Source organism: Homo sapiens, chromosome 5, assembly GCF_000001405.40.
Source record: "Homo sapiens chromosome 5, GRCh38.p14 Primary Assembly".
In the NCBI taxonomy this organism is placed as follows: domain Eukaryota; kingdom Metazoa; phylum Chordata; class Mammalia; order Primates; family Hominidae; genus Homo; species Homo sapiens.
In genome coordinates this window covers 132,089,088-132,112,702 of record NC_000005.10, presented here as the reverse complement: position 1 = coordinate 132,112,702, position 23,615 = coordinate 132,089,088, and the positions used below count along the sequence as shown (strand labels likewise).

General features: G+C 45.7%; 5 annotated features.

Moving 5' to 3' along the window:
• Positions 8,855–9,234: an enhancer, noted in NCBI's record as "active region_23060". NCBI's record gives its function as "activates an Ori minimal core promoter by ATAC-STARR-seq in GM12878 lymphoblastoid cells {active_cell/tissue: GM12878}" and the evidence as "EXISTENCE:reporter gene assay evidence [ECO:0000049][PMID:35858748]".
• Positions 8,855–9,307: a biological region, named in NCBI's record as "Sharpr-MPRA regulatory region 14284".
• Positions 9,013–9,307: an enhancer, noted in NCBI's record as "tiled region #14284; HepG2 Activating DNase unmatched - State 10:DNaseD". NCBI's record gives its function as "activates a minimal TATA promoter and a strong SV40 promoter by Sharpr-MPRA in HepG2 cells {active_cell/tissue: HepG2}" and the evidence as "EXISTENCE:reporter gene assay evidence [ECO:0000049][PMID:27701403]".
• Positions 14,233–14,527: an enhancer, noted in NCBI's record as "tiled region #12197; K562 Activating DNase matched - State 5:Enh". NCBI's record gives its function as "activates a minimal TATA promoter and a strong SV40 promoter by Sharpr-MPRA in K562 cells {active_cell/tissue: K562}" and the evidence as "EXISTENCE:reporter gene assay evidence [ECO:0000049][PMID:27701403]".
• Positions 17,356–18,555: an enhancer, noted in NCBI's record as "P300/CBP strongly-dependent group 1 enhancer chr5:131429841-131431040 (GRCh37/hg19 assembly coordinates)". NCBI's record gives its function as "activates an origin of replication core promoter dependent on BRD2, BRD4, P300/CBP, MED14 and CDK7 cofactors, with strong dependence on P300/CBP, by STARR-seq in HCT116 cells {active_cell/tissue: HCT116}" and the evidence as "EXISTENCE:reporter gene assay evidence [ECO:0000049][PMID:35650434]".

Sequence of the window (23,615 nt, the reverse complement as noted above, 5' to 3'; positions counted from 1 at the left end):
TTTCTTAATGTCATGACTTTTCTTTGCTTCTTGGGAGCACTTTCCAGCATGGTTGGAAAGTTGAGGCCTCTTTCAACTCATCACTCTTTCTTCCTGGGTCCCTCTCTATGGAAAACAGGTAAGTCAAATTTCAAAACTGTGCACTATGGTTCCAACCATAGTTTCCTTTGGCCACTTGCCAAAGTGGGACTTCTCACTAATGGGAGTAAAAATGAAGGTTTTATCCAGATTATCAGTAGGATCACACTGTTCTGTCATTCGGTTTGCTAGACTTGTTTCATATAACTCAGTTTCACCAATATAGCACCTTTCCTTGGGCTTTTCTGAAAATATCACTTGTACAAGATTTTTGTGTGTGAGCAGATTCGTGAGAAGACTTGCGGTGCCAAATGTGTTTTATGTTGCCATGGTGCTTGCTCTTAGCTTCATCTGTCATGAGGGTTTTGTTTCTCATAGTAGTGTTTTCTCCTACCAAATTCCACTACACATCCTCTCCTACCCTTTGGTAAACCCTGCCCCAAACAAACAGAGCAATTAATCTAGAACTGTGTTGTCCAGTACAGTAGCCATTAGCCATATATGGCTATTTAATTAAATATGGCCAATTAATTAAAATTAAATAAAATTAGAAATTTAAAACTCTCAGTTGCCGTAACCATATTTCAGGTGTTCAATAGCCACATGTGCTAGTAGCTTCTACATTGGACAGTGCAGATATACAACATTCTGATTACCACAGAAAGTTCTGTTGGATAATGCTAATCTAGAATAATACTGCCAAATTCCAGCAGGACTATCAAGGTAGATGTAAGTACTCCAAGGCACATTCCTATCACGTTCCCTGTTGCCACTATAGAAAGTATAACTTCTTCATTATTCCAGTTGCCCATCTGGTAACTATTAGATCAGGCACACGTGCACATGCACGCACACACACACACACAGACACACACACACACACACATTAATTCTTACAGACTGGATATTCTAAATTTACAAGAAGGAGGAAAAGCATTTTCCTAATTGCTCCAAAATTTTCTCTACCCATAATAAAGCGAGTACCTTACATTATTTTGCAAAGAAGTCCCTCACTTTCAAATTGTGCCCCCTTGGGCCTGGCATAAATAAGAAAACAAACCCATTTTTGAAGCTATCTCATTTAATGAAAGGTCATTCAGCTATAAAAGGATGCAAAGAAAGTTTTTCTTATCTATTCCTTTTAAGACCCTAATTATGTTCTCACCTATTCCCCAGTTCCTGCTGAGTCTCTGAAGGTAGGAGTGGGAAGTCTTGCATTGGAAAGGCCTTCTTAGGTGCAGTAGTATTTGTTATTTTACACCTTAACCTCAAAGGAAGTCCTTCTTTTTCTTGGGATGGAGCACTTTAGTTCTCATAACTCTTCTCTGAAGTCATTGCAGAGTGGGTGGAGGAAGGTGAGGGTGATGCTTTGGTCTGAATTTTCTTGGTAAACTTACAAGTGGATCTATCAAAACCAGAGGGTTTTTTCTTAACCACACCACCCCCAGAATTCCATTTCCTGCAGATGTAGCAGCAGCACATCTAGCCATCTTGGCCCAGGCCTCTGGACCATGCCTTGGGAGGGCTCTGCCCTCTGCCTTGAGTTCCATTAGAACTTCTCCAGTGGAAAGAGTGAGTTACTTTGCCCTGGCCTGGTGGGCAGGCTTTTTCCTCTCTGACTTGGCTAAATGAAATGGGATTTAAGGTAGCTCTCCCTGTGGGTAAAAGACATTTTGCTCTATGCTAGAGAAAAAGGGAGGTAGTGGTTTCATCTGCCACTACTACCTATGGATGTGAACAGAACCTCTGCTCCTGATGCAGACCCCTGGCCCTTTCCCAGCTCCTATTCTGTTTTGACTTCTGCACACCCCTTTTTCTGACCCTGATACTATCCCAGATCATTATTCTTCCTCTAGTCCTACCCTTGTTCTAGCCAGTGCCCCAGACCCAAGGTGAGCTAAGGGACAGTCTCTCAAAGTCTGGGCAGAGAGCCTCAGGAAGTTGGGGTATGGCTGAGAGAAGAGGGGAGTGCAGGGGGATAGGCATACAGACTCTGAATGCTTGACCTTCCTTATTTTCTGTCTTTGAACTTATTTCAACAGAGGAACCCTTATCATCTAGCCCTGTGGCTCTCTAGTACCTTGTACCTGCTTCCTGTCCCATAATTGTGAGCGTTTAGCTGTGGTGCAGGTGAGAGACCCATTCTCCCACCCTCAGGAGCCAGGAAGGCCCACCAGTATGGCAGGGAGGCCTAGGCAGAGATATACAGGAGAGCAGAGACGTCTGGAGCTAGGTCACCGGTGGTCAGCAGGGCCTCCTGCAGAGGGAGCAGCCTCCTTTGGCCTTTGCTTGTCTGACTTCTAATGATCCTGTAAAAATTAGTTTTGTTTTTTAAGCACCCCAATGATGCATGAATACACTCTTTTGTCAAATCTTAAAAAGAGAAAATCCTTTTTTTTTTTAAATAAAAAAGAAAGTTATTTAGTCTTAAGATTGTAAAACTGTAAAGTTAAATAAAGTGGCCGCCCTTTGGCTGCCCTGATCCCCATCCCCTACTCCAGCTTCTGCAAGTAACCACAATTCTCAGCTAGGTGTATATCCTTCCAGACGTCTTTCTATACATTTACTTTTCCTTATTGTTTAAACCAATTTGAGTTGTCTTTTCTCTTACTTAAATCTGAAAGTGTTCCTAACCAATTTAATAACAATTGCCTCAGTGCTGTTTATTGAAAGGTTCTTCGTTTCATACTGACATAAAACGCCAGTTGTGTTAGACCCTGGCCAGGCCTGCTTCCTCAAAGACCCAGAGTAAACATGAACTGTAAACTCCAAAACTGTACAACTAGTTTTTAAAGAAAGATTGCCCAAGATACTGGCACAAGACTTTTTAAGGCCTAGGATTTGCATATTAGACCTATGTAATGTGGCTTACTGAAGAGCAGAGTTCTTGCTTTCTTTGGTAGTGTAAGCTCTTTCTGGTGCTCACACAGGAAGGACTGTAAAGGGCAGTGAGGGCTCGAATCTGGACTCTTCTGACATGAGGGACATCTCATTTTATGCAGGCTGCCAAGACCATTGAACTTGGAGGATGCCTTTGTGAGAAAGCAAGAAAGGCAGTGGGGAGCTGCAGCCCCCACATGCACCTTCATCTCAGGAACATCCTTTGTACTTTTTTTTTTAATATTGTACAGAGCTGTTTTTTTTTATTATACTTTAAGTTTTAGGGTACATGTGCACAACATGCAGGTTAGTTACATATGTATACATGTGCCATGTTGGTGTGCTGCACCCATTAACTCGTCATTTAACATTAGGTATATCTCCTAATGCTATCCCTCCCCGCTCCCCCCCACCACAACAGCCCCAGTGTGTGATGTTCCCCTTCCTGTGACCATGTGTTCTCATTGTTCAGTTCCCACCTATGAGTGAGAACATACGGTGTTTGGTTTTTTGTCCTTGCGATAGTTTGCTGAGAATGATGGTTTCCAGCTTCATCCATGTCCCTACAAAGGACATGAACTCATCCTTTTTTATGGCTGCATAGTATTCCATGGCATATATGTGCCACATTTTCTTAATCCAGTCCATCATTGTTGGACATTTGGGTTGATTCCAAGTCTTTGCTATTGTGAGTAGTGCCACAGTAAACATACGTGTGCATGTGTCTTTATAGCAGTATGATTTATAATCCTTTGGGTATATACCCAGTAATGGGATGGCTGGGTCAAATGGTATTTCTAGTTCCAGATCCCTGAGTAATCACCACACTGACTTCCACAATGGTTGAACTAGTTTACAGTTCCACCAACAGTGTAAAAGTGTTCCTATTTCTCCACATCCTCTCCAGCACCTGTTGTTTCCTGACTTTTTAATGATCACCATTCTAACTGGTGTGAGATGGTATCTCATTGTGGTTTTGATTTGCATTTCTCTGATGCCAGTGATGATGAGCATTTTTCATGTGTCTTTTGGCTGTGTAAATATCTTCTTTTGAGAAGTGTCTGTTCATATCCTTCGCCCACTTTTTGATGGGTTTTTTTTCTTGTAAATTTGAGTTCATTGTAGATTCTGGATATTAGCCCTTTGTCAGATGAATAGATTGCAAAAATTTTCTCCCATTCTGTAGGTTGCCTGTTCACTCTGATGGTAGTTTCTTTTGCTGTGCAGAAGCTCTTTAGTTTAATTAGATCCCATTTGTCAATTTTGGCTTTTGTTGCCATTGCTTTTGGTGTTTTAGACATGAAGTCCTTGCCCATGTCTATGTCCTGAATGGTATTGCCTAGGTTTTCTTCTAGGGTTTTTATGGTTTCAGGTCTAACATGTAAGTCTTTAATCCATCTTGAATTAATTTTTGTATAAGGTGTAAGGAAGGGATCCAGTTTCAGCTTTCTACATATGGCTAGCCAGTTTTCCCAGCACCATTTATTAAATAGGGAATCGTTTCCCCATTTCTTGTTTTTGTCAGGTTTGTCAAAGATCAGGTCGTTGTAGATATGCGGCATTATTTCTGAGGGCTCTGTTCGGTTCCATTGGTCTATATCTCTGTTTTGGTACCAGTACCATGCTGTTTTGGTTACTGTAGCCTTGTAGTATAGTTAGAAGTGAGGTAGCATGATGCTCCAGCTTTGTTTTTTTGGCTTAGGATTGACTCTGCAATGTGGGCTCTTTTTTGGTTCCATATGAACTTGAAAGTAGTTTTTTCCAATTCTGTGAAGAAAGTCATTGGTAGCTTGATGGGGATGGCATTGAATCTATAAATTACCTTGGGCAGTATGGCCATTTTCATGATATTGGTTCTTCCTACCCATGAGCATGGAATGTTCTTCCGTTTGTTTGTATCCTCTTTTATTTCATTGAGCAGTGGTTAGTAGTTCTCCTTGAAGAGGTCCTTCATGTCCCTTGTAAGTTGGATTCCTAGGTATTTTATTCTCTTTGAAGCAATTGTGAATGGGAGTTCACTCATTGTTTGGCTCTCTGTTTGTGTGTTATTGGTGTATAAGAATGCTTGTGATTTTTGTACATTGATTTTGTATCCTGAGACTTTGCTGAAGTTGCTTATCAGCTTAAGGAGATTTTGGGCTGAGACAATGGGGTTTTCTAGATATACAATCATGTCACCTGCAAACAGGGACAATTTCACTTCCTCTTTTCCTAAATGAATACCCTTTATTTCCTTCTCCTGCCTGATTGCCCTGGCCAGAACTTCCAACACTATGTTGAATAGGAGTGGTGAGAGAGGGCATCCCTGTCTTGTGCCAGTTTTCAAAGGGAATGCTTCCAGTTTTTGCCCATTCAGTATGATATTAGCTGTGGGTTTGTCATAGATAGCTCTTATTATTTTGAGATATGTCCCATCAATACCTAATTTATTGAGAGTTTTTAGCATGAAGGGTTGTTGAATTTTGTCAAAGGCCTTTTCTGCATCTGTTGAGATAATCATATTGTTTTTGTCATTGGTTCTGTTTATATGCTGGATTACATTTATTGATTTTCATATGTTGAACCAGCCTTGCATCCTAGGGATGAAGCCCACTTGATCATGGTGGATAAGCTTTTTGATGTGCTACTGGATTTGATTTGCCAGTATTTTATTGAGGATTTTTGCATCGATGTTCATCAGGGATATTGGTCTAAAATTCTCTTTTTTTGTTGTGTCTCTGCCCGGCTTTGGTATCAGGATGATTCTGGTCTCATAAAATGAGTTAGGGAGGATTCCCTCTTTTTCTATTGATTGGAATAGTTTCAGAAGGAATGGTACCAGCTCCTCCTTGTACCTCTGGTGGAATTCGGCTGTGAATCCATCTGGTCCTGGACTTTTTTTGTTTGGTAAGCTATTAATTACTGCCTCAATTTCAGAGCCTGTTATTGGTCTATTCAGAGATTCAGCTTCTTCCTGGTTTAGTCTTGGGAGAGTTTATGTGTCGAGGAATTTATCCATTTCTTCCAGATTTTCTAGTTTATTTGCATAGAGGTGTTTATAGTATTCTCTCTCTCTTTTTTTTTTTTTTTTTTTTTTGAGACAGAGTCTCACTCTGTCACCCAGGCTGTAGAGCAGTGGTGCAATCTTGGCTCGTTGAAACCTCCACCTCCCAGGTTCAAGCAATTCTTGTGCCTCAGCCTCTGGAGTAGCTGAGATTACAGGCACACACTCCCATGCCCGGATAATTTTTTTTTTTTTTTTTTTTTTTAAGTAGAGATGGGGTTTCACCATGTTGGCCAGGCTGATCTCGAACTCCTGATCTCAAGTGATCTGCCTGTCTCCCAAAGTGCTGGGATTACAAGCATGAGCCACTGCGCCTGGCCGGTTTCTGGTATAATTCTTGATCTTATTAAGGATGCTTCCTAGTAGTCCTAGTAGACAAAGAATTTTTCTCATAAACGGATGTTTCTGTTGAGATGATCATCTTTAGATTAACCAATTATTGTGGAGAAGTACATTGGTAGATTTTCCATAATCAAATTTGCATTCCTGGGAATGACCCTGCTTGATCATGATCTGTTATTCTTTTAATTCAATTTGGTAATGTCTTATTCCTACTGAGTTCTACCTCAGTAAAAATTTTCACCAAAACTGTGCCTAGCCTCCAGGCTGGGTGGCATGTTCCTTCTCTATGCACCGAGAGCACCATGTCTGTCTTTTTCTAATACCTCTCTAGTTTTGTACTTACAATCTGGTATTATAATTACATGTCTCCCTCAGTGGAATATGCCATTGTTGAGAGACAGACTTTTGTCTTCTTCCTAATTGTATCCTCAGTGCCCAGATAAGGCCTGATTTAAAGCAGGCCTTTGGAAAATATGTCTAGTCTGTGCGAAAATGCTTACCATTCCCCTGACAGGGACAAGTGCCAAGTCCCCATACTAGTTTAGCTTTGTGGGCAGAGCCCTGGCCTTGTTGGTCCAGCTTATCATGCAGACAAGAGCCATGTCAATACTGGTGGACCCCGCTTGCTGTGGGAGCTGGAGAGCCAGATATGCTCACAGCTCCTTCTCAGTTACACCTAAGCTGCCTGTGGGGAGCTCAGGACTCTGCATGCGCCTCCACATCTTCAGGCCGAAGATTCTCCATCACTTCCAAGAAAGCACGCTCAAATGTGAAAGCAGATAAATCATTAGCACCCTGTGCTGGGGCTTGTTACTGTTCAACAGGGGTTCTCTTTCTGGGAACCTAAGATACTTCATGTGTACCTTAGCAGCAGCTAATGGGGGTGGATGGAAGTGGTCACCAGGCATTCCAGTCACCCAGGGATGCCTAGGTCCCTTTACCAGGAAGCAGCGAGAGAGGCATAATGGACACAACTCTGTCTTTCTTATAGAAGACACCTGTTTCAGGCCAGGCCTTTATCTTGCTGAAGCTGACCCCACTGAAGGGTCATTGTGCTTTGGTTAGAAAACCACTGCAACCAAAGCCATCCAGTGACAAAGTAGTGGGATCCCTCATACTGGAGCAGGCAGACACCTACTGTCCCAGTAGTCTCATGTCAGAAACAACACTCAACATACATTGTCTTTTGTGCCCAGCTTGGGAGCTGGTCTGTGAGGACTGAGGGATCCCAGGTACCTTGAGTTCTTGTAACCATACAGTGGATGGACACAGACACAGCACCATCCTAGGGCTGGCAGATACTCCATGCTCATCGGTGCCAGCCTGCTCATCAACAGAATCACCCACCTCCATTCTGTCACCCACCAGGTATTTACTGAGACTCTTCTACATGACATGTGCCATTGAGGGTACTGGGAGAATAGCAGCAGACCTATAATACAAAAGCCCCTGCCCTTGAGGGGGGCTACCTGGTTTCCAGGTGCACCCCCAGTTTATCTCATGGTTTAGGTGGCACTATTTATGACTCACCAAGTTTGTGACAGATGATCAGTGTCTTCCTTCTGTGGCTGCAGTTTATCTGTGCACAGATGCTGGCATCCTTCAATCCAGGTCTCAGGTTTGGGTCAGGGCTTAGCTTGAGGCAGTAGGAAGAACAGAGCTCTCTGGATGGTTTAGGCAAGCTTGTCCAACCCATGACTCACAGGCTGTATACTACCCATGACAGCTTTGAATGTGACCCAACATAAATTGGTAAACTTTCCTAAAACATTATGAGATTTTTTGCTTTCTTTTTTTTTTTTTTTTTTTTTTTTTTGCTCATCAGCTATTGTTAGTGTTAGTGAATTTTATGTGTGGCCCAAGACAATTCTTCTTCCAAAGTGGCCCAGGGAAACCAAAAGATTGGACATCTCTGGTTTAGAGATTCAGTTGGTTTCTTCAACTTCAGTTCTTGGTGTACAGGGATGGCCTCTGACTTGCTCCACATCCTCAATCCGGCCACCACCTGGTTTTCTGCACACAGGAAACACTTGGCAATGTTGGCTGAAACAATGAGTGAGAGCCAAGTGCCAAGTGCTGGGCTAACCTCGCTCACAGCCAATTAGGCATAAAGTAACCAGGGCTGTAAGAGAAGTGGAAACAGAGATGCAGATGCTCCAAGGAGGCCAGACACTTGCCCTCCTCTCTTGGTGAGTCCTGTGCTCAGAAGGGGCACAACGGAGACGTGCTTGGGCTGTCCATACGGCAGTCTCTCTGCGGCAGTGGAGAAAGCTCTGGTCTGTGTGTATAGTGTGCATGCAGGGGAGTGTGCATATGTGTGTATATTTGCCTACATGCACATGCATGTTCACATTGGCTCTGGTCCCCACAACAACACCATTATAGGGCCCTGCTTAGCCATCCTTTCTGCAGTGGGTGGGGGGGGTGGGGAAAGGGGTTCCTGACTGCTGTGTCACTTTTGGATAGTCACTGTTTTTTGTGTGCAGCACTCCTACCTCACCTACCCCACCCCTAGAGGCAGGCAGGGTGATGACTGAAGCATCAGGCCTGTGGTTTCTGTAACAGGAAGTGATTTAGATGCTGAAAGCTAATTTTAGATGAAATGATATGGGGTTTTTAAAGAATCTTTCAGGGTTGGTTTCAGGCTCAAGGCTTAGCCCCCTGCTCCTCTTGCCTACAGGGGACAGGCAGTTTCCCATTGTCCTTGTCACTGTCTTGCTGGGTGAACTCATGCCTAGCTGGGCAGGGTTCTTAGGTAGAAAGCCAGTGCTGATTTTTCCTGGATTTCAGAATGTTTAAGTCATTGTTTTTGGCCTTGAACACCAGAGTCCTGTGACTCAGCACAGGCCTGGCTCTAGGCCAAGCAGACACAGGACCTCTTATCCCTGGAAGGGGACTGCCTGGAGGCTCCCAAGGATCTTGTTAGGACAGAGATGTCCACCCTCACCCAGGCTGAGGCCTGGGCCAGAGGTCAGATGAGGCTTCTGGGCCAAAAAAAGTATCATCTTGGGTGGCAGACACTTAGGTGGGGCCTCTTCTCCCAGTTAGCCCTGTCCTGAGCCTCTTAGCAGGGGCGGCTTTCTGACCCAGGTGCCACACTAAGGATCCCATCCTGATTGAGCCCTGTAGATTGGGACTCCTGATAGCAGCAGACACAAAAGAAACTGAGGAGTAGGCACAGAACTCTGAGAGTCCTGTCCTCCTGGTGTCGGGGTCCCACTGGTTGGGGACCTTGGAGCCTCGTGGTTTCTGTCTCTGCCAAGGCCTGAGCACAGGAAATAGAAGGTTGGGCCTCCCTGGTCACCTCTGCAAGGGTCTTCAAAGCCCATTTTAATCTGTTGTCCCATTCCCTAGGTCTTCCACAGCACCCCATACCAGAGAATGCTGCTCCCATTATCAGAGAAGCAGCCAAATATCAGCATGCTAAGAGAGATGTCCCAGGGTTACATAGCTTCACTCAGGCAGCATTGGAGCCAGCCAGGCCAGGAGCTTACCCTGTCCCATACTACCGATGGGATGCCCAGCATTCAGGGAAAAGAGCTCACTCTGCATATCTCATCTAGACAGCAGCCAGCCTCATGAACCCCTACCACAAACCTGGGACCTCTGGAAAGCCAAGTATAAGTCTCTGCCAGTTCTTAGTCCACCCTTGTTCTGCTTTGTGGTGAGGTATAGCTTGGGAGATGAGGCGAGGCCTATAGGTCTTGGTTGGTACACAAGAAGAAACACTTCTGCCTAGAGAGGCTGTCGACAGACATTTCCAGGGACACACAGCAGACAGCCTTCATGGCCTTCATGACCAGTCGGTCCCTTGTGGAAGACAAGTAGGACAGGACAGATGATTAGCCCAGAGCCAAAACTGAGCTCAAACCGCAGAAGAGGAGAGCATTCTCACAAAAGCTCCAGTGTTTGCAGCACAATGACGGAGGTAGATGGTGTGAGCTAAGCCCTGTTTTGAGAGTTCCATAGAAGGTGTCTTTGACCTATTTTCAAGGGCTGTGGTGGTAGGAGGAATTTTTGGCCACATCATAAAGAGTTTTGTGGCCACCTCTGATATACCTAGCTCAGGAAGTTGTAATTTTCCATGATTAGGTTATTAGTCACCAAAGTGATTGCTGCCCCCAGACCCTGGCCCCTGTGCTGCAGGAGGCTGACAGAGATGCCCCTCCAGCACTGCAGCCCTGCCTCCCCAGCTGCAGGCCAGAAGCCAAGGAGGCCCTGAGTACTGATGTTGGGCCCTCTGGGTGCTTCCCTTGTTTGTGGAACCCCACAGCCCCATTCCAACTTCTTGAGCACTTTGCCTACCCCAGGAGATTTAACTGGGGCAAGAAATCCTGTAAGATCTCAACAAACGGACGTGGGTAGAATAGCTCCCAGAAAATCTACTCAAGGGAAGACCCATGTACTCCAAGGTATCAATAATGGTGAGGGACTCAGTCTGTAACTTTCTAGGACAGTTTCATTTCATTTTAAAAATTTAAGATGAAAGAGTTTATTAATGGAAGTAGTTCATGAAGCACCTTCAGGAAACCACACAGGACTCAGAGCTCCTTGCCTTTAGAAAGACAGGACTGTGTCAGCCTGTGTGGCATTCACACCTGGATTCCCAGGGTGGGCTTCCCTTAGAAAGGGAGAATTAGTTGCAGCCCATCTCTCTGTGGGAATCTCACCTGGTGAGCCCCTTCTCCCAAACTCCTAGAGTGTCTCACCCCAGCTCCTGGGCTCGACTGGTGCCTCTGAGGAGCGTACCTGCTGTTGGAATTGGCGGAGCGCTGCCAGGCTGAGGAGCGAGGAGAGCCTGCCCCTGGGCCCTGCCACCAAAGCCATGGGGGCAGTCGCATGCTTTGCTTGTCAGTTGGTGGCATTTAGGTGGCATTAGGAATGTTTGTTGTTTCTAATTATTTGTTTGTTTGTTTGTTTATTTGAAAGTAATCCCTCTTTTTCCAAAGGCCTGCATGCTGCCTTGATTCTGGAGGAGCCAGGGATTGGCCCAATGACCCAAATGTTTGGAAGTCTTTAAGGGCCCTTTTCATGCCCGTGAAGTCACAGAAGTAGGTAATCACCCACCTACCCTCCCCAGGTACCCGATATTGATGTGGGTCAGAGGGGGCTGAGAAATAACTCAGCCTCAAAGCCTTAGACCGTCTTCTCAGGGTGTAACCGTCATCTCAGGATAGACAATTCAGGAAGAGGATGCCTTGCCACACATGAGGAGGTGGGAGTGGCAAATGAGCAGGCGTTGCATTCAGGGCAGGTTTAGAGGAAGGTTTGGCAGGTGAATGATGGTTTGCGTACAAACTACAGACAAGAAATTGAGAGGACAACTGGGTATAGGTGAGGTGACTACTCTGCCCTCAGAAAAGTGGAAGTCTGAGTTCATGGGGGAATGCCTCTTAAATAACACAGATGGGCAAACTCCAGACATTAGTGAAACCTTCTTCGTTAGACATTCTTTTCAGGGGTTTCTCATACTTCCCCAATCACCTTAATCATCAGTGCTGACCACAACTGATACCTTTCTGGGTGACTCAAGGCCAGTGCTCAGGCGGGCCACCGTGTGTTGAATCCAGCTGAAGATGCAGGTGCAGCTGGAGGAAGGACTAGCCCTGAATGGGCACCAACCCCAAAAGAATCCACTGACTGTCACTTAGGCAAAAGTTCCGCAGTCACATTGCTTTTGGATCCTCCGCCTCACTCTTCCTGAGAGGTATTTGGTGCAAATAGCCGGACCTCTGGAGTGGGAGACACCTGACTCCAGTTCCTGCCACTTCCTCCTTCCTGCTAGTTGCCAGACCTTGGACAGTTTGGTAACTTTGAATTTGCCCCTGTCAAATTCATTCATTTACTCATGCACTCACTCACTCATTCACTCAACATAAATTCCTGAGTAGCTTCCATGTGCCAGGTACTAGTTTAGGTACTTGGGAGTGATCAGTAGAGGAAATAGGTAAGTGTTCCGCCTTCAGAAATGTGTATCATGGCATGGGAGGTACAAAATAAGCAACAAAGCTGTTAACAAGTTAGAAAGTGGTAAGTGCTATGGGAAAAAACAGAGCAAGATAAGCAGTGCTTGGAGTGGTGGTAGAAGGGGCTGCAATCTTAAACAGTATGGACATGGCAGATCTCTGAGAAAATAACATCTGAGCAAAGACTTGAAGGTGTTGAAGGCGTTAGCCCCTTTTAGGCACAGGGAAGAGCCAGCGCAAAGGCTCTGAGGCTGGTGTGTTCAAGGAGCAACATGGAGGCAAGTGTGGCTGGAGCAGAATGAGTGAGCAGAGAGGGTCACAGGGGAAAAGAAAGTGATGGAAAGATAAAGGGGAAGATGATGCGGACCTTGCAGGCCACTGTGGGAACTATGGCTTTTCTGTGGTAAAACACAGAACTCCAAGAGGGTTTTGAACAGAGGGCTATGATCTGACTAGAGCATAACAGGATCACTCTGGCTGCTGAGTTGAGAATAGATTATAGAGCAGGGAACAGGTAGAAGCAGGGAAATTAGCTAGGCTTCCACTGAAGTATATTCTAGAAGATAATAGTGGCTGGAATCATCATGGATTCAGTGGAAGTGGGGAGAAATGAGAAATGTTGGATTCTGGACCTGTTTTGGAAGAAGAATCATCAGCATTTGCTGATGGCTTAGATGTTGAGTATGAGAGAGAGATCAGAGTTAAGGATGACTCCAAGGGTTTTTCTCTGAGCAGCTGGAAAGAAGGATTTGACCTCAACTGAGACAAGAAGACTATATGTGGGGCAGGCATGAAGGGGAAGATTAGGAGTTCACTTTAGCACACATAAAATGGGATAATTATACTTCACAGGCTGTAGTGAGGGTTAAATATGATAATATATGAAAGGTCTTAGTACTAGCAAGCTCTTAGTAAATGTCACTTTCCCTTTTTCTTTCTCAAAGAGGTGGTGAAGCATGAACAGCTGGGGTCCCCAAACCAATTTGACTAATTGCCTTTCTGTAGAAGTAATGTGCCAATCAGATGCCAAGACAGCCTCCTCCCTGTGGTTTTCTCACTCTTCAGGAAACTTTCACTGTTGCTAACAGGGTCTTTAGATTTGTCAAAGGTTTCTCGGTGATGTTGACACACTGATGTGATGATGAGTTTCTGCATCGGGGCACTGTGGCGCCCAGACAGCCTCCATCTATGTGCTCACCGTTTCCATATCAGTCACTCTGCTGGTGTCACATGAGCAAGAGGCATGATCTCTTCAGCAGAACAGTTTGGTTCTACAGACACACACCGACATCCATATCACTCCTTGTCCCCCCACCCCCAGGTTGTTATGGGACTGTTGAAAAATTACTTACCTGTGAGGTAGGTACTATTATTCCCATTTTATAGATGAAGAACAAAGGTTCAGAGAGGCTTGTTATATGAATTAAGTGAATGAGTATATGCAAAAATGCTTAGTACCACTGTGCCTAGAACTTAGTAAATGCTTGAGAAAGGTTAACCATTGTTAATAAATGTTAATCATTGTCAGTAGTTCAAGAAAGGAAGGATTTTCTCCAAAACTACACTTTTGTTATAAAAGACAGTAGGCTGACTTAACATTAGGTCACAACTTTATCTTAGCTATTTGAATCATTTGATTCTGAATAATATTGTTGGCATGTGGCACATTACAATTTTTAAATGAACAAAACAAAAAAGGTTATAGTCTGTATAGTAGAAGCATTTTCATACAGGGAATAATTGGATATACTTGACTTTATGGATGAGAAAATCCAGGTACCTGGAAGGATGCTACCCAAGGGCCATCTTTGGATATGGGATGCTCTTTACTTGTTTGAATTTTTAACAGTAAACTTAAATCATTCTTAGGACAATAGGCTAGTTTGTAAAGATGTCTCTGAAATGTCCGGTAAGATTTGTGTGGTACCTGTGTGATTAACTGTTTTCAGTGGTTACATTGCTTTATCTGAGGGGCCACCTGACTGTGCTGACACCATGATGGACAGCCCAAGTCAGGGTGCATGAGATAGTGAGGCCTAGCAAAACAGATTCCTTAGAAGTGCCCAAACTTCCCTCTTCAGCTGAGGTTGGTGACTGCTCAGACCCAGAGCCGTGCACATGCTTAGTCATTTGATCACTGTCTGAGAAAGCCTTCTCTCTGGGTAGAAACGTAAGAACAACTTGAGGTTTGTAGTATCCCTCTCAAGCTTGTCCAATCCACGGCCTGTGGGCCACATGCGGCCCAGGACAGCTTTGAATGTGGCCCAACACAAATTCATAAACTTTCTTAAAATATTATGAGACTTTTTTCTTTTAAGCTCATCAGCTATCATTAGTGTATTTTATGTGTGGCCCAAGACAATTCTTCTTCCATTGGGGCCTGGGGAAGCCAAAAGATTGGACACCCCTGCTCTATACACTGGTTGGTGGTGAGTGAGGGCTCAGGTAAACATGAGACATCTTTGACAGCTTCAGGATAACAAAATCTCTAGGTCCAGAAGTTCTACTTGCAGGCCTCCTGTAGAACTGGCATATATGAGAACAGGAATCTCATCTTTATTCTGTTTAAATCCTGGAGATTTGATTCATGGCACCTGCCAGTGTGGACATTTGCATGTGAATCTCAGATACACTGGCTTCATTAGCCTGTAAAACAGTTCAAGAGACAGGCCAAGTTCCCAAATGGTCTCTCAAGAAAGCTATAAAATTGTGCAGAAGCAAAACATTTGAGTACCTGCCTTTCAGCCATGATGTTTTCTATATTGGAAGCCTAGTATCATCCTGATTCAACATTTTCCTGGGCTCATTCTTAGAGTCCAGGGCAGCCCAGTTTGAAAATGGCATAATTCTCATACTCTCTGACCATTGGGGTCCCACTACCGGGTACCAAACTGTGAGGGGGTATATTACTGGATGTGTCACAGACATCCACCCTGCCCCACACCACTGAGATTTGCTGATTGGAGTGACTTTAATGGATAATTTCTGCCCCAACACTGAATGCTCACACAAGGCCCTTGACTCTTCCCTGGTATTCCCATTTATGCTTCAATTGTCCTTGCTTCCATTTCTGCCCCCTTCACCTTGGCATCCCCAGCCCTCTGCTTTGATATCTTTGTGGCTTGGATGCTGAGTGGAGAGGAGAGCTCTCTTTGGTGGTGAGCAGGAGATGACTAGTGGACCTCTGATGACAATTGACTCTCTCTCCTCCTGGCAGCCGCCTTCCCTCGGCTCTACCACTACCACTGTTCAAACATTGCTCTCTGCTCTCCCCATGGCCAGGAGCTCAAAAGCTGCTACAGACCAGGAGGATTCCAGCTTGGACACCTTATGACCAATGAGCTACAACTTCAGTGGGCATCATCTGGGCATCAGCTTGGATTATGACCAGGTCAAGGTGCTGAGTGCCAGGCAGTCAACAAGCAACTGCTGTGGCGTCCACCTGTCAAAGTTCTGTCAGTTCAAGATGCAAGAGCACCAGGTTGAAGGGCACTTGCTGCATGTCAAGTTCAGTTCTTTTTATGATTAGAGTCAGAGTTCCCTGCAAGTGAGAACAGAGCCCAGCTAGACCTGGCCCCAGGGCTCCCTTGCTGTCTGTTCCCTCTTCCTTCTGGATACTTCTGGCCCTGTCCCAGGGCATTTGACAGGGGCCTCCAAGTACCTAGGCCAACTGAGGAGCAGAGGTAGAGGTGTTGAAAAGCCTCCACCTGCCAAGACCTTGAGCACTGAACCCAGGCAGCCTCCTGTGCCCCAGCCTCTGTCCTCTATTCCTTTGTGAGCCCTTCTTTGACCACTTCTCCCCCTTTTTACCCTCACTCTCCAGTTCAGGCCATCAACTCTGGCGAAGCAAATATAAAAACCTTCTCACTGATCCCCTTACTGACTTTTGGCCAGCACAGTAGCCTGAGGGATCCTTTAAAAACATAAATCCAGCTCCTTCTTGTCAGTCAGGTCTCAGCCAAATGTCACCTTCTCAGAAAGGCTCCCATTGACCATCTAAAATCTTCCATGCCATCATCACATATTCTATTTATTTTATTTTTATTTTAAAAATAGGTTTAAAGGGCACAAGTGTGGTTTTGTTACATGGATATATTATGTAGTGGTGAAGTCTGGGCTTTCAGTGTAGCCATCACCTGAATAGTGAACATCGTACCCAATAGGTAATTTTTCAACCCTCACTCCCTCCCATCTTTTGAAGTCTCCAATGCCTGTTATTCCACTCTGTATTTTATTTTATTATCTCCACTGACATTATCTTGAGCATTCTTTTGTTTACTGCTTTACTGTCTTCTTTACTACCTTGTAAGCATCAAGAGGGCAGACAATTTGTCCCGCATGGCCCTAATGCCCAGGACAGTGCCTGATAACATGGTAAATTGGTACTCAAAAAGTATTTATTGAATGAATGAATGAATGAATGAATGAATCCATTCTTAAGAAGAGCTCACATTGCCAGTCACTGGGCTGTCAAGCAGTCCTCAGGCTGACTTGAGTGCTGAGTGGAGAGGAGAGCCTCTCCTTGTGGCGAGCAAGGCATGAGCCTGCCATAACCCCAGGAGTTACGGGGCAAGGCCTCTTGGCCTAGTGGATGCCAGCCAGTAGGCCACGGGTCTCTTTAAAAGCAACAGGAAGCCAAGTCCTGGAGATAAGAAGTGTGGCTGCCAGCGTGATAGAGGTGGGAAGAGGGCTGAAGGGTGGAGAGGTGGGGGCTGCCGGGCACCTCTGTGCTGCTCCCTGGGGATGCCCAGACCTCTGTGGCTGGCTGGCCAGCACCACATGCTTCCTGTGGAGAGCAAGGAGAGGAGATCCCCTCCAAAGGCCCTGGAGCTGGGACTGCCCCAGCAGCCTCACCCTTGTCCTCACTGTGGTGGTTAAGACGCAGGGCTACTGTCCCACTTCTCTGCCATTCATGGACACTAGGGCAGCTGCCATAGGGCAAGTGTCATATCCATGTGCTCTCTGCACCTGGCTCCCTGTGCTTCTCTGTGTTTTAGACTCTTCATTGGTACAATGGATTCCTCCACACTGGTGATTGTGAAGAGTCTGGGAAGTCTGGGAGGAACTGGGGACTGGGGGCTAGAGTCTCAAGGAGGAGTGAGGGTCTGGAGGGCTGAGATACTAGATATGAGAGGCAGCCCGGGTGTGGTGGATGGGCTGGCAGGGGCTAGCTAGCATTTGGATGCAACATAACAAAGACCTGGCATCCCTTTCAGTGTCTCATCCCGGCTGGTTGATGCCAAGTAGCAGGAAGAGTGATGAAAGGGCACCTGAGGAGACTCAGAGACTTTGGTTTAAGTGTTGTATCTGCCACTGTCTGGCAGACAAGTCGTTTCTCTGCTCACAGCTTCAGTGATGCGTCTGTGAAACGGGTCATGTTCTCTCTCTCACATGATCGTGGTGAGCATTAAGGAAATTATGTAAATCATTTCAGTGACTCTTCAGGCTTCAGCTCCCCATTCCTGCTGGGGTCATCTCCTAGGATAGTGAGGATGTCTGTGGACACAAACTAAGGAAGCCAGAAAACCGCTGTCCTGACTCAGTGTCTTGCCCCACCCTGGCCTCTGGCCCAGATTCTGGAGGCCTTAGTCAGGGGGTGGGGGTCTGTTTGCCCAGAGCTGGGGTTTCCCTATAGATCCTGTGGGACAGAACAAGTGCAGCCCACTGGAAAGCCCTTGAAACAGTTGGATGTCACCCTGTCTGAGAGGAGCTTAAAGCTGCCAGAACGGACTGGTGGACTGGTTGGATCCGCCCCCTTGGGAAAATCCAGGCATGAGCTGTCACCTGGACCTGAGTACAGTTCCTGTCCATCCTGCACTAGCGAGGCCATGGGGAATGCTCAGAAGGGGAGGCGTCGCGTGAAACCTGCTTAATATACAGCCTGTCCAAAGGTCCCAGCCCCCAGCCACCTGAACTGCCAGGACTGTTCCATTTCCCTATCCTCCACAGGCCTGCCCCGAGGCCCCTGCCAACAAATGTCACTTCCCCACACCAACCTGCTTCCTCCAGGATTGGTATTTTCTGACTTCTATGTTTTTCATGGCTTCTTTGATGCCACCGCTCCTGTTTCTCTTTCTCCTCTGTGACCAGTTCTTACAAGCCTCTTACACAGCTGCCTCCTCCTCTGCCCATCTTCTAGGTTTCCAAGTTCCTTGGGGCTTGGTACTTCTCTCTTTGGCTACCCTACAGGTCTCAAACTTGCGGTCTAAAGGCCAAATCAAGGTCTGCACCCTCCAACAAGGGTCCCTACCTTTTCTTAACCTGCCACCCTACAAACAACACTTCAGACTAGTGGTGTTCCCAGACATGTTTCTGCATGCCCCTCTTTGGGGAGAAACTCCACGATTATGGAGCCATCCTAAATGCGAGCTACTAGGTCCAGATTTCTTTGATCTAGCTTCAGCCTATCCCCACCACACCTCTTACCAGATCACCTGGCCTGGTTGAAGGGCTTTCTTTAAGGCATCCCATCACAAGCATGTTTTTCTCTGCCCCTTTGCCACCTGGCAAACGACTCCTCCTCTTTTCATAGACTGACCAAGAAACTATAGCCGCCCCAACCCAGATGATACTGATTCTGCTCACTACTGCTAGGGACAAAAGCTGCCTGACAGGTGTCTCTGATACCTGGTGGCTGAGATACAGTGAGTACTCAATATTAGATGGGGAGAGGGACCCTGTAGCCATTTCTCCTGAGGAGTTGAGTACCTGAGAATGGCAGAGTGAGGCTCTTCCCTGGGCTTATGTGTCACAATAGGAAAGCAACAGAATCCCAGTTGCCAGGGTTGTGGGGGGAAGCGTGGTTTGTAAGCATCAGGCTCTGACCCATCTGCCCAGGGACAAGATTTGTACAGGCTTTTTAAGGTGGTCTTGTGGATGCTGTGATACACAGCTCAGACCCCCCCGCCCCATCCCCTTTATGAATGAAAGATTTATTTCACCAGCTGGTGGGAGAGCTGCCAGAAGACAGCCCCAGCTGTCAGCCCTATTTTGGACTACTGCTAAAAAATAATTGCCTTGTGTAAGGTCACACCTACTTCTGTAGGGAGCCCACGTCTACCAACTGATAAATATGAAGGTATAAAGGCTTGGCTCCCTCTCCTTCTTGGGAAAACTCTGAAGGATCATCACAGATGAGCACTCCTGGTCTCAGCTGGAACCTCGGCTGGAATTGCATAGTAGCTCCACTTCTCCTTTTGCCTAGTCCTGTTTCAGTCCTCATTTCCACTGATGTTGACCCCAAGATCTTTTCCTAATAAAGGTCCTACATGCTCATATCCTACTCAGTCTGTTTCCTATAGAACCTAATCTATGGCATCTGGCTTTAGGAGTGACAGAAAAAAAATGAGATGCTAAGATATGATTTTGGAGCTGGATCATCCACTGTTGGCTGCCAATGAGGACTCCCATCACAGGTGGCAGGTGAAGCAGACAGCTTTTGGCCCATGGTAATAATTGTTAAAACTTTTACCTATGTTGGAAGAGAATGCATTAGATGGTGCAGTGCCTCAGGTGTTTGAGAAATATGGGGGAATTAGCCACTGCAAGGACAATGGAATTGCTAAGCTTGACTAACTTTCAGTAAAAGAAAATGGAGAGCTTAGAGTGATTAATTGGCAATGAAAACATAAGCATGAAAGCCGTAGGCCTCTTTGGTGCATCTATAGAAAAGAAGAAAAAGCAGAGAATCAGACCCAGACTTCTGTCAAAGTAGTTAAGCTTCAAAGAAGGTTATATTCCCAACCAAGGCAGGTCTTCTATGCCAAGGGCAGAGCCCTGGTTGGGGAAGAATGAGACCCTGACACGTGGGATGAGGACCTCTGTTGCACCTGAATATCTTGAATCCTCAGATTTCACTAAACACTCTGGACCTGCAGAAGTGACCTACTCATCTCTGTTAAAAGCTAGAACTTGCTTCTTACTTTAAAAAGAAAATGCGGAGGCTTCTGTCCTGCAAGACATGCTCTCATTCCATGTTACCTCTTTGTGCTAGGCCAATAACTAGGGTTAAGTCAAAACCTAACCTGGCCAGACATGCTGAACTTGCTAGTGTAGAAAAGGACTATACCTCAAAGGAAATTCTGGTCATATCCAGAGAGTACTAGCAGGAGCTTGGAGAGTATGCACAGGACTGGATTCTGGACCAAGGGGGTGGAACAGAAATTTGAACAAAAGAGTTTATGGATATGGGAACATTCTTCCAGGATAAAGTATTTAAAACTGTGGCAAGGCCCCAAGAGATGGTGCAAATACATCGTTTGGATGGCTCCTAGAAGCATGGAAAGAGGATGGCCCATATTAAGTGAGGGTAGCCAGAATGGCTATGGCAGACTATGAAGGACGTGGGTGTGCAGGAATAAATATACTAAGCAAATTCAGAATACTCGCCTGAGGGCCAAGAAGATACCAAAACAAGAAATGTATTGGAAAGAAGGGCACCAGTATCACCAAGAACTAAAATGGTGGCTAAAATAGGCCAGCATTGATAGGAAATGTCACAGAACTGGGCTCACTGATAGCAGTAGGGGTGATAGGACTCTGAGATAATAGAGGCCAAGTCATAGCACTTGGCCCAGTTGTCTGGGTGGCAAGATTGGAATGGCTGTTAAGAGGGCCTGGCTCCCGGGGAGTTATGGACATGGTTAATAAAACATAGCATCTGGAGGGTCACAATAGATGGCCAGCCAACAGTGCTGCGGGTTATTCTGTGCAAGAAAAAGAAATCAATCATGGATAATGAGTCCAGTCACCCCAATAAAAAGTAACCTGCCGAGTTTCCAGATCTGAACCAGTTTTCAGACTTAGAACCTACTGATTGAAGAAGATGCCAGATCTCCCAGAAGGAAGAGTCCCACACCACCACAGCAAGTGTGCATGATAATGATTTCCCCAGCCCTTTCCCAGGGGGACCTGTGGGCACTTAACTTGGATAGCTACATACTAGGAAAGAGAATATCCTAACATGTGAAAGACTATTGAACCCGGGATTAGAATTGACATTGTTACCTAGGTACCTGAAGTGGCACCAAAATCCTCTCATTAGAATGAGGGGTATATGTGGGCCAGGTGATAGATTCCTGGCCTGAGTTCTGCTAATAGCAGGTCCTCTGGGTCCACAGACCCACAGTGATATAATCAGATCAACACACTTGATAATTAGCACAGCCCCTACATTGGGTCCTTGGCCTGCATGGTGAGAGTGATCATAGTGAAGAAAGCCAAGTGGAAGCCTTCAAAACCTTCCCATTCCAGGCAAAATAGTAAATCAAGAACAATATCACATTCCAGGGTTAATGGCAGAAATTATTGCCACCATTATAGACCTAAAAGGGAGTCCGTCATATCTTCATTTAATTTACCAGCAAAACCCAGTTAAATCCTGAAAGATGACAGCAGGCTACTACCAATTCAACAGTAGCCCCATTTGCAGCCACTGTGCTTGCCAAATGTGTCTTCACTACAACAGATTAACATGGGCTCAGGCATACAGTGTGTAGCTGCTGATTTGGTGAATCCATTCTTTTCCACCCCTGTTAGAAATTGTTTGCATTCACTTGGGACAAACAACAGTTCAAATTTCCAAGGCAAAGTTAACTCTCCTGCCCTCTGTCATAACATAGTTCCAAGAAGTCTGAACCACTTGGGCATCCTGCAGAACATCACACTGGTCTACTCTATTGATAATATTATGCCAGTCAGACAAGATTGATGGCCATGGCAAGACACATGCACTCCAGAAGATAAACCCTATGAATATTCACAGCCTGCCACATCAGTGAAGTTTTTAGGAATCCAGTAGTCTGGAGCGTGCAGAAAATTCCCACCAAAGTATAGGACAAATCACTATGTCTTGTACTTCCCACCATGAAGAAGGAAGCGGAATGTTTGGCAGGCCTCTTAGGGTTATGGATGCAACCTATATGGATGAAACCTATTACACACTTGGGAATATTATTCTGAACCATATACCTGGCAGTGACACAAAAGCCTGCCATCTTTGAGTGGGGCCCCAGGCAGGAAAGGGCTCTTTGGCTGTAGTACATGTAGCCCTGCCATGTGGGCCATATGAGTCATCAGATACTGTGGTTTTAAAGGTATCTGTACTGGGAAAATACACTGTCCCTAGGGTTCTGGAACAAGGCCATACCATCTGCACTGGAGAATTACATACCTTTTGAAAAACAGCTGTGCCATGCTTCTGAGCCTTGGTAGGCCTGGAGGGCCTGACTCAGTGACCATGCAGCAAGAACCACCATGATGAATTGGTTTTTGTGAGACCTACTAAGCCATAAGGTCAGGTGGGCTCAACAGCAATCCATCATAAGATGGAAGTGGTACAACTCTAACCAATGAGCAGGATTGGAAGACACAAATAAGCTGCAGGTGCAAGTGACCCAGAACCCTGTACCATCCAACTCCAGGACACCAAAACCTTCCCCCAGCTCACATCTATGGCTGCATGGGTGATCCCTTGTGTCCAGCTGATGGAGGATGTAAAAGCTCAAACTTGATTCCCAAATAAGTTCAGATACAATACTCGGCCTCAGGGAGATCAAGAGACCACCCCACTGCTAGGTGACTACATTAGCCCTCTTATACCCCTGAAGGGCCAGTGATTCATTTTGACAAGAATAAAGACACAATTTAAGCATGAGGTTGCCTTTCCTGGCTGCAGGGCCACAGCCAACATCACTATCCAAGGGCCTTCAGAGTTTTTATTCCCCTGGTATGGGATCTCACATAGCATATCAGACTGAGGGATCTACTTTATATCAAAGAAAGTGGAAGCACAGGTCCATGACCATAGGATGTGCTAGTCATATCACATATTGCACCACTCAGGTGTTGTCAGTTTGGTAGAGTGTTGGGCAACAGCCTGTTGATGGCATAGTTGAAGCACCGGCTTGGGGTGCTACTTTACAGGATAATGAACTATTCTTCAGGATGCAGTTCTCACTATAAATCAAAGACCTTATATGGAGCTCTGTTCCAATAGGTATAATACAAGAGTTTCAGAACCAAGAGATAAAAACAGGAGTGGCCCCCTTTACTATCATTCCCAGTGGCCCACTTGGAAAATATATGCCTCCCATCCCTGCAAATCTGGGCTCTGTGGGTTTGGAGATCCTGGTTCCCCAGGAGGGAACATTTCCAGCAAAAGTCCCATTAGACTATCAGCTAGGGATGCTGCCAGGGCACTTCAGCCTTCTTGTGTCTAGGGACAAGCAGGAAAGAAAAGGAGGTACCATCTTGGCAGGGGTACCTGAGCCTGATCATCAGGAGGAGGTAAGACTACACAGTGGAGG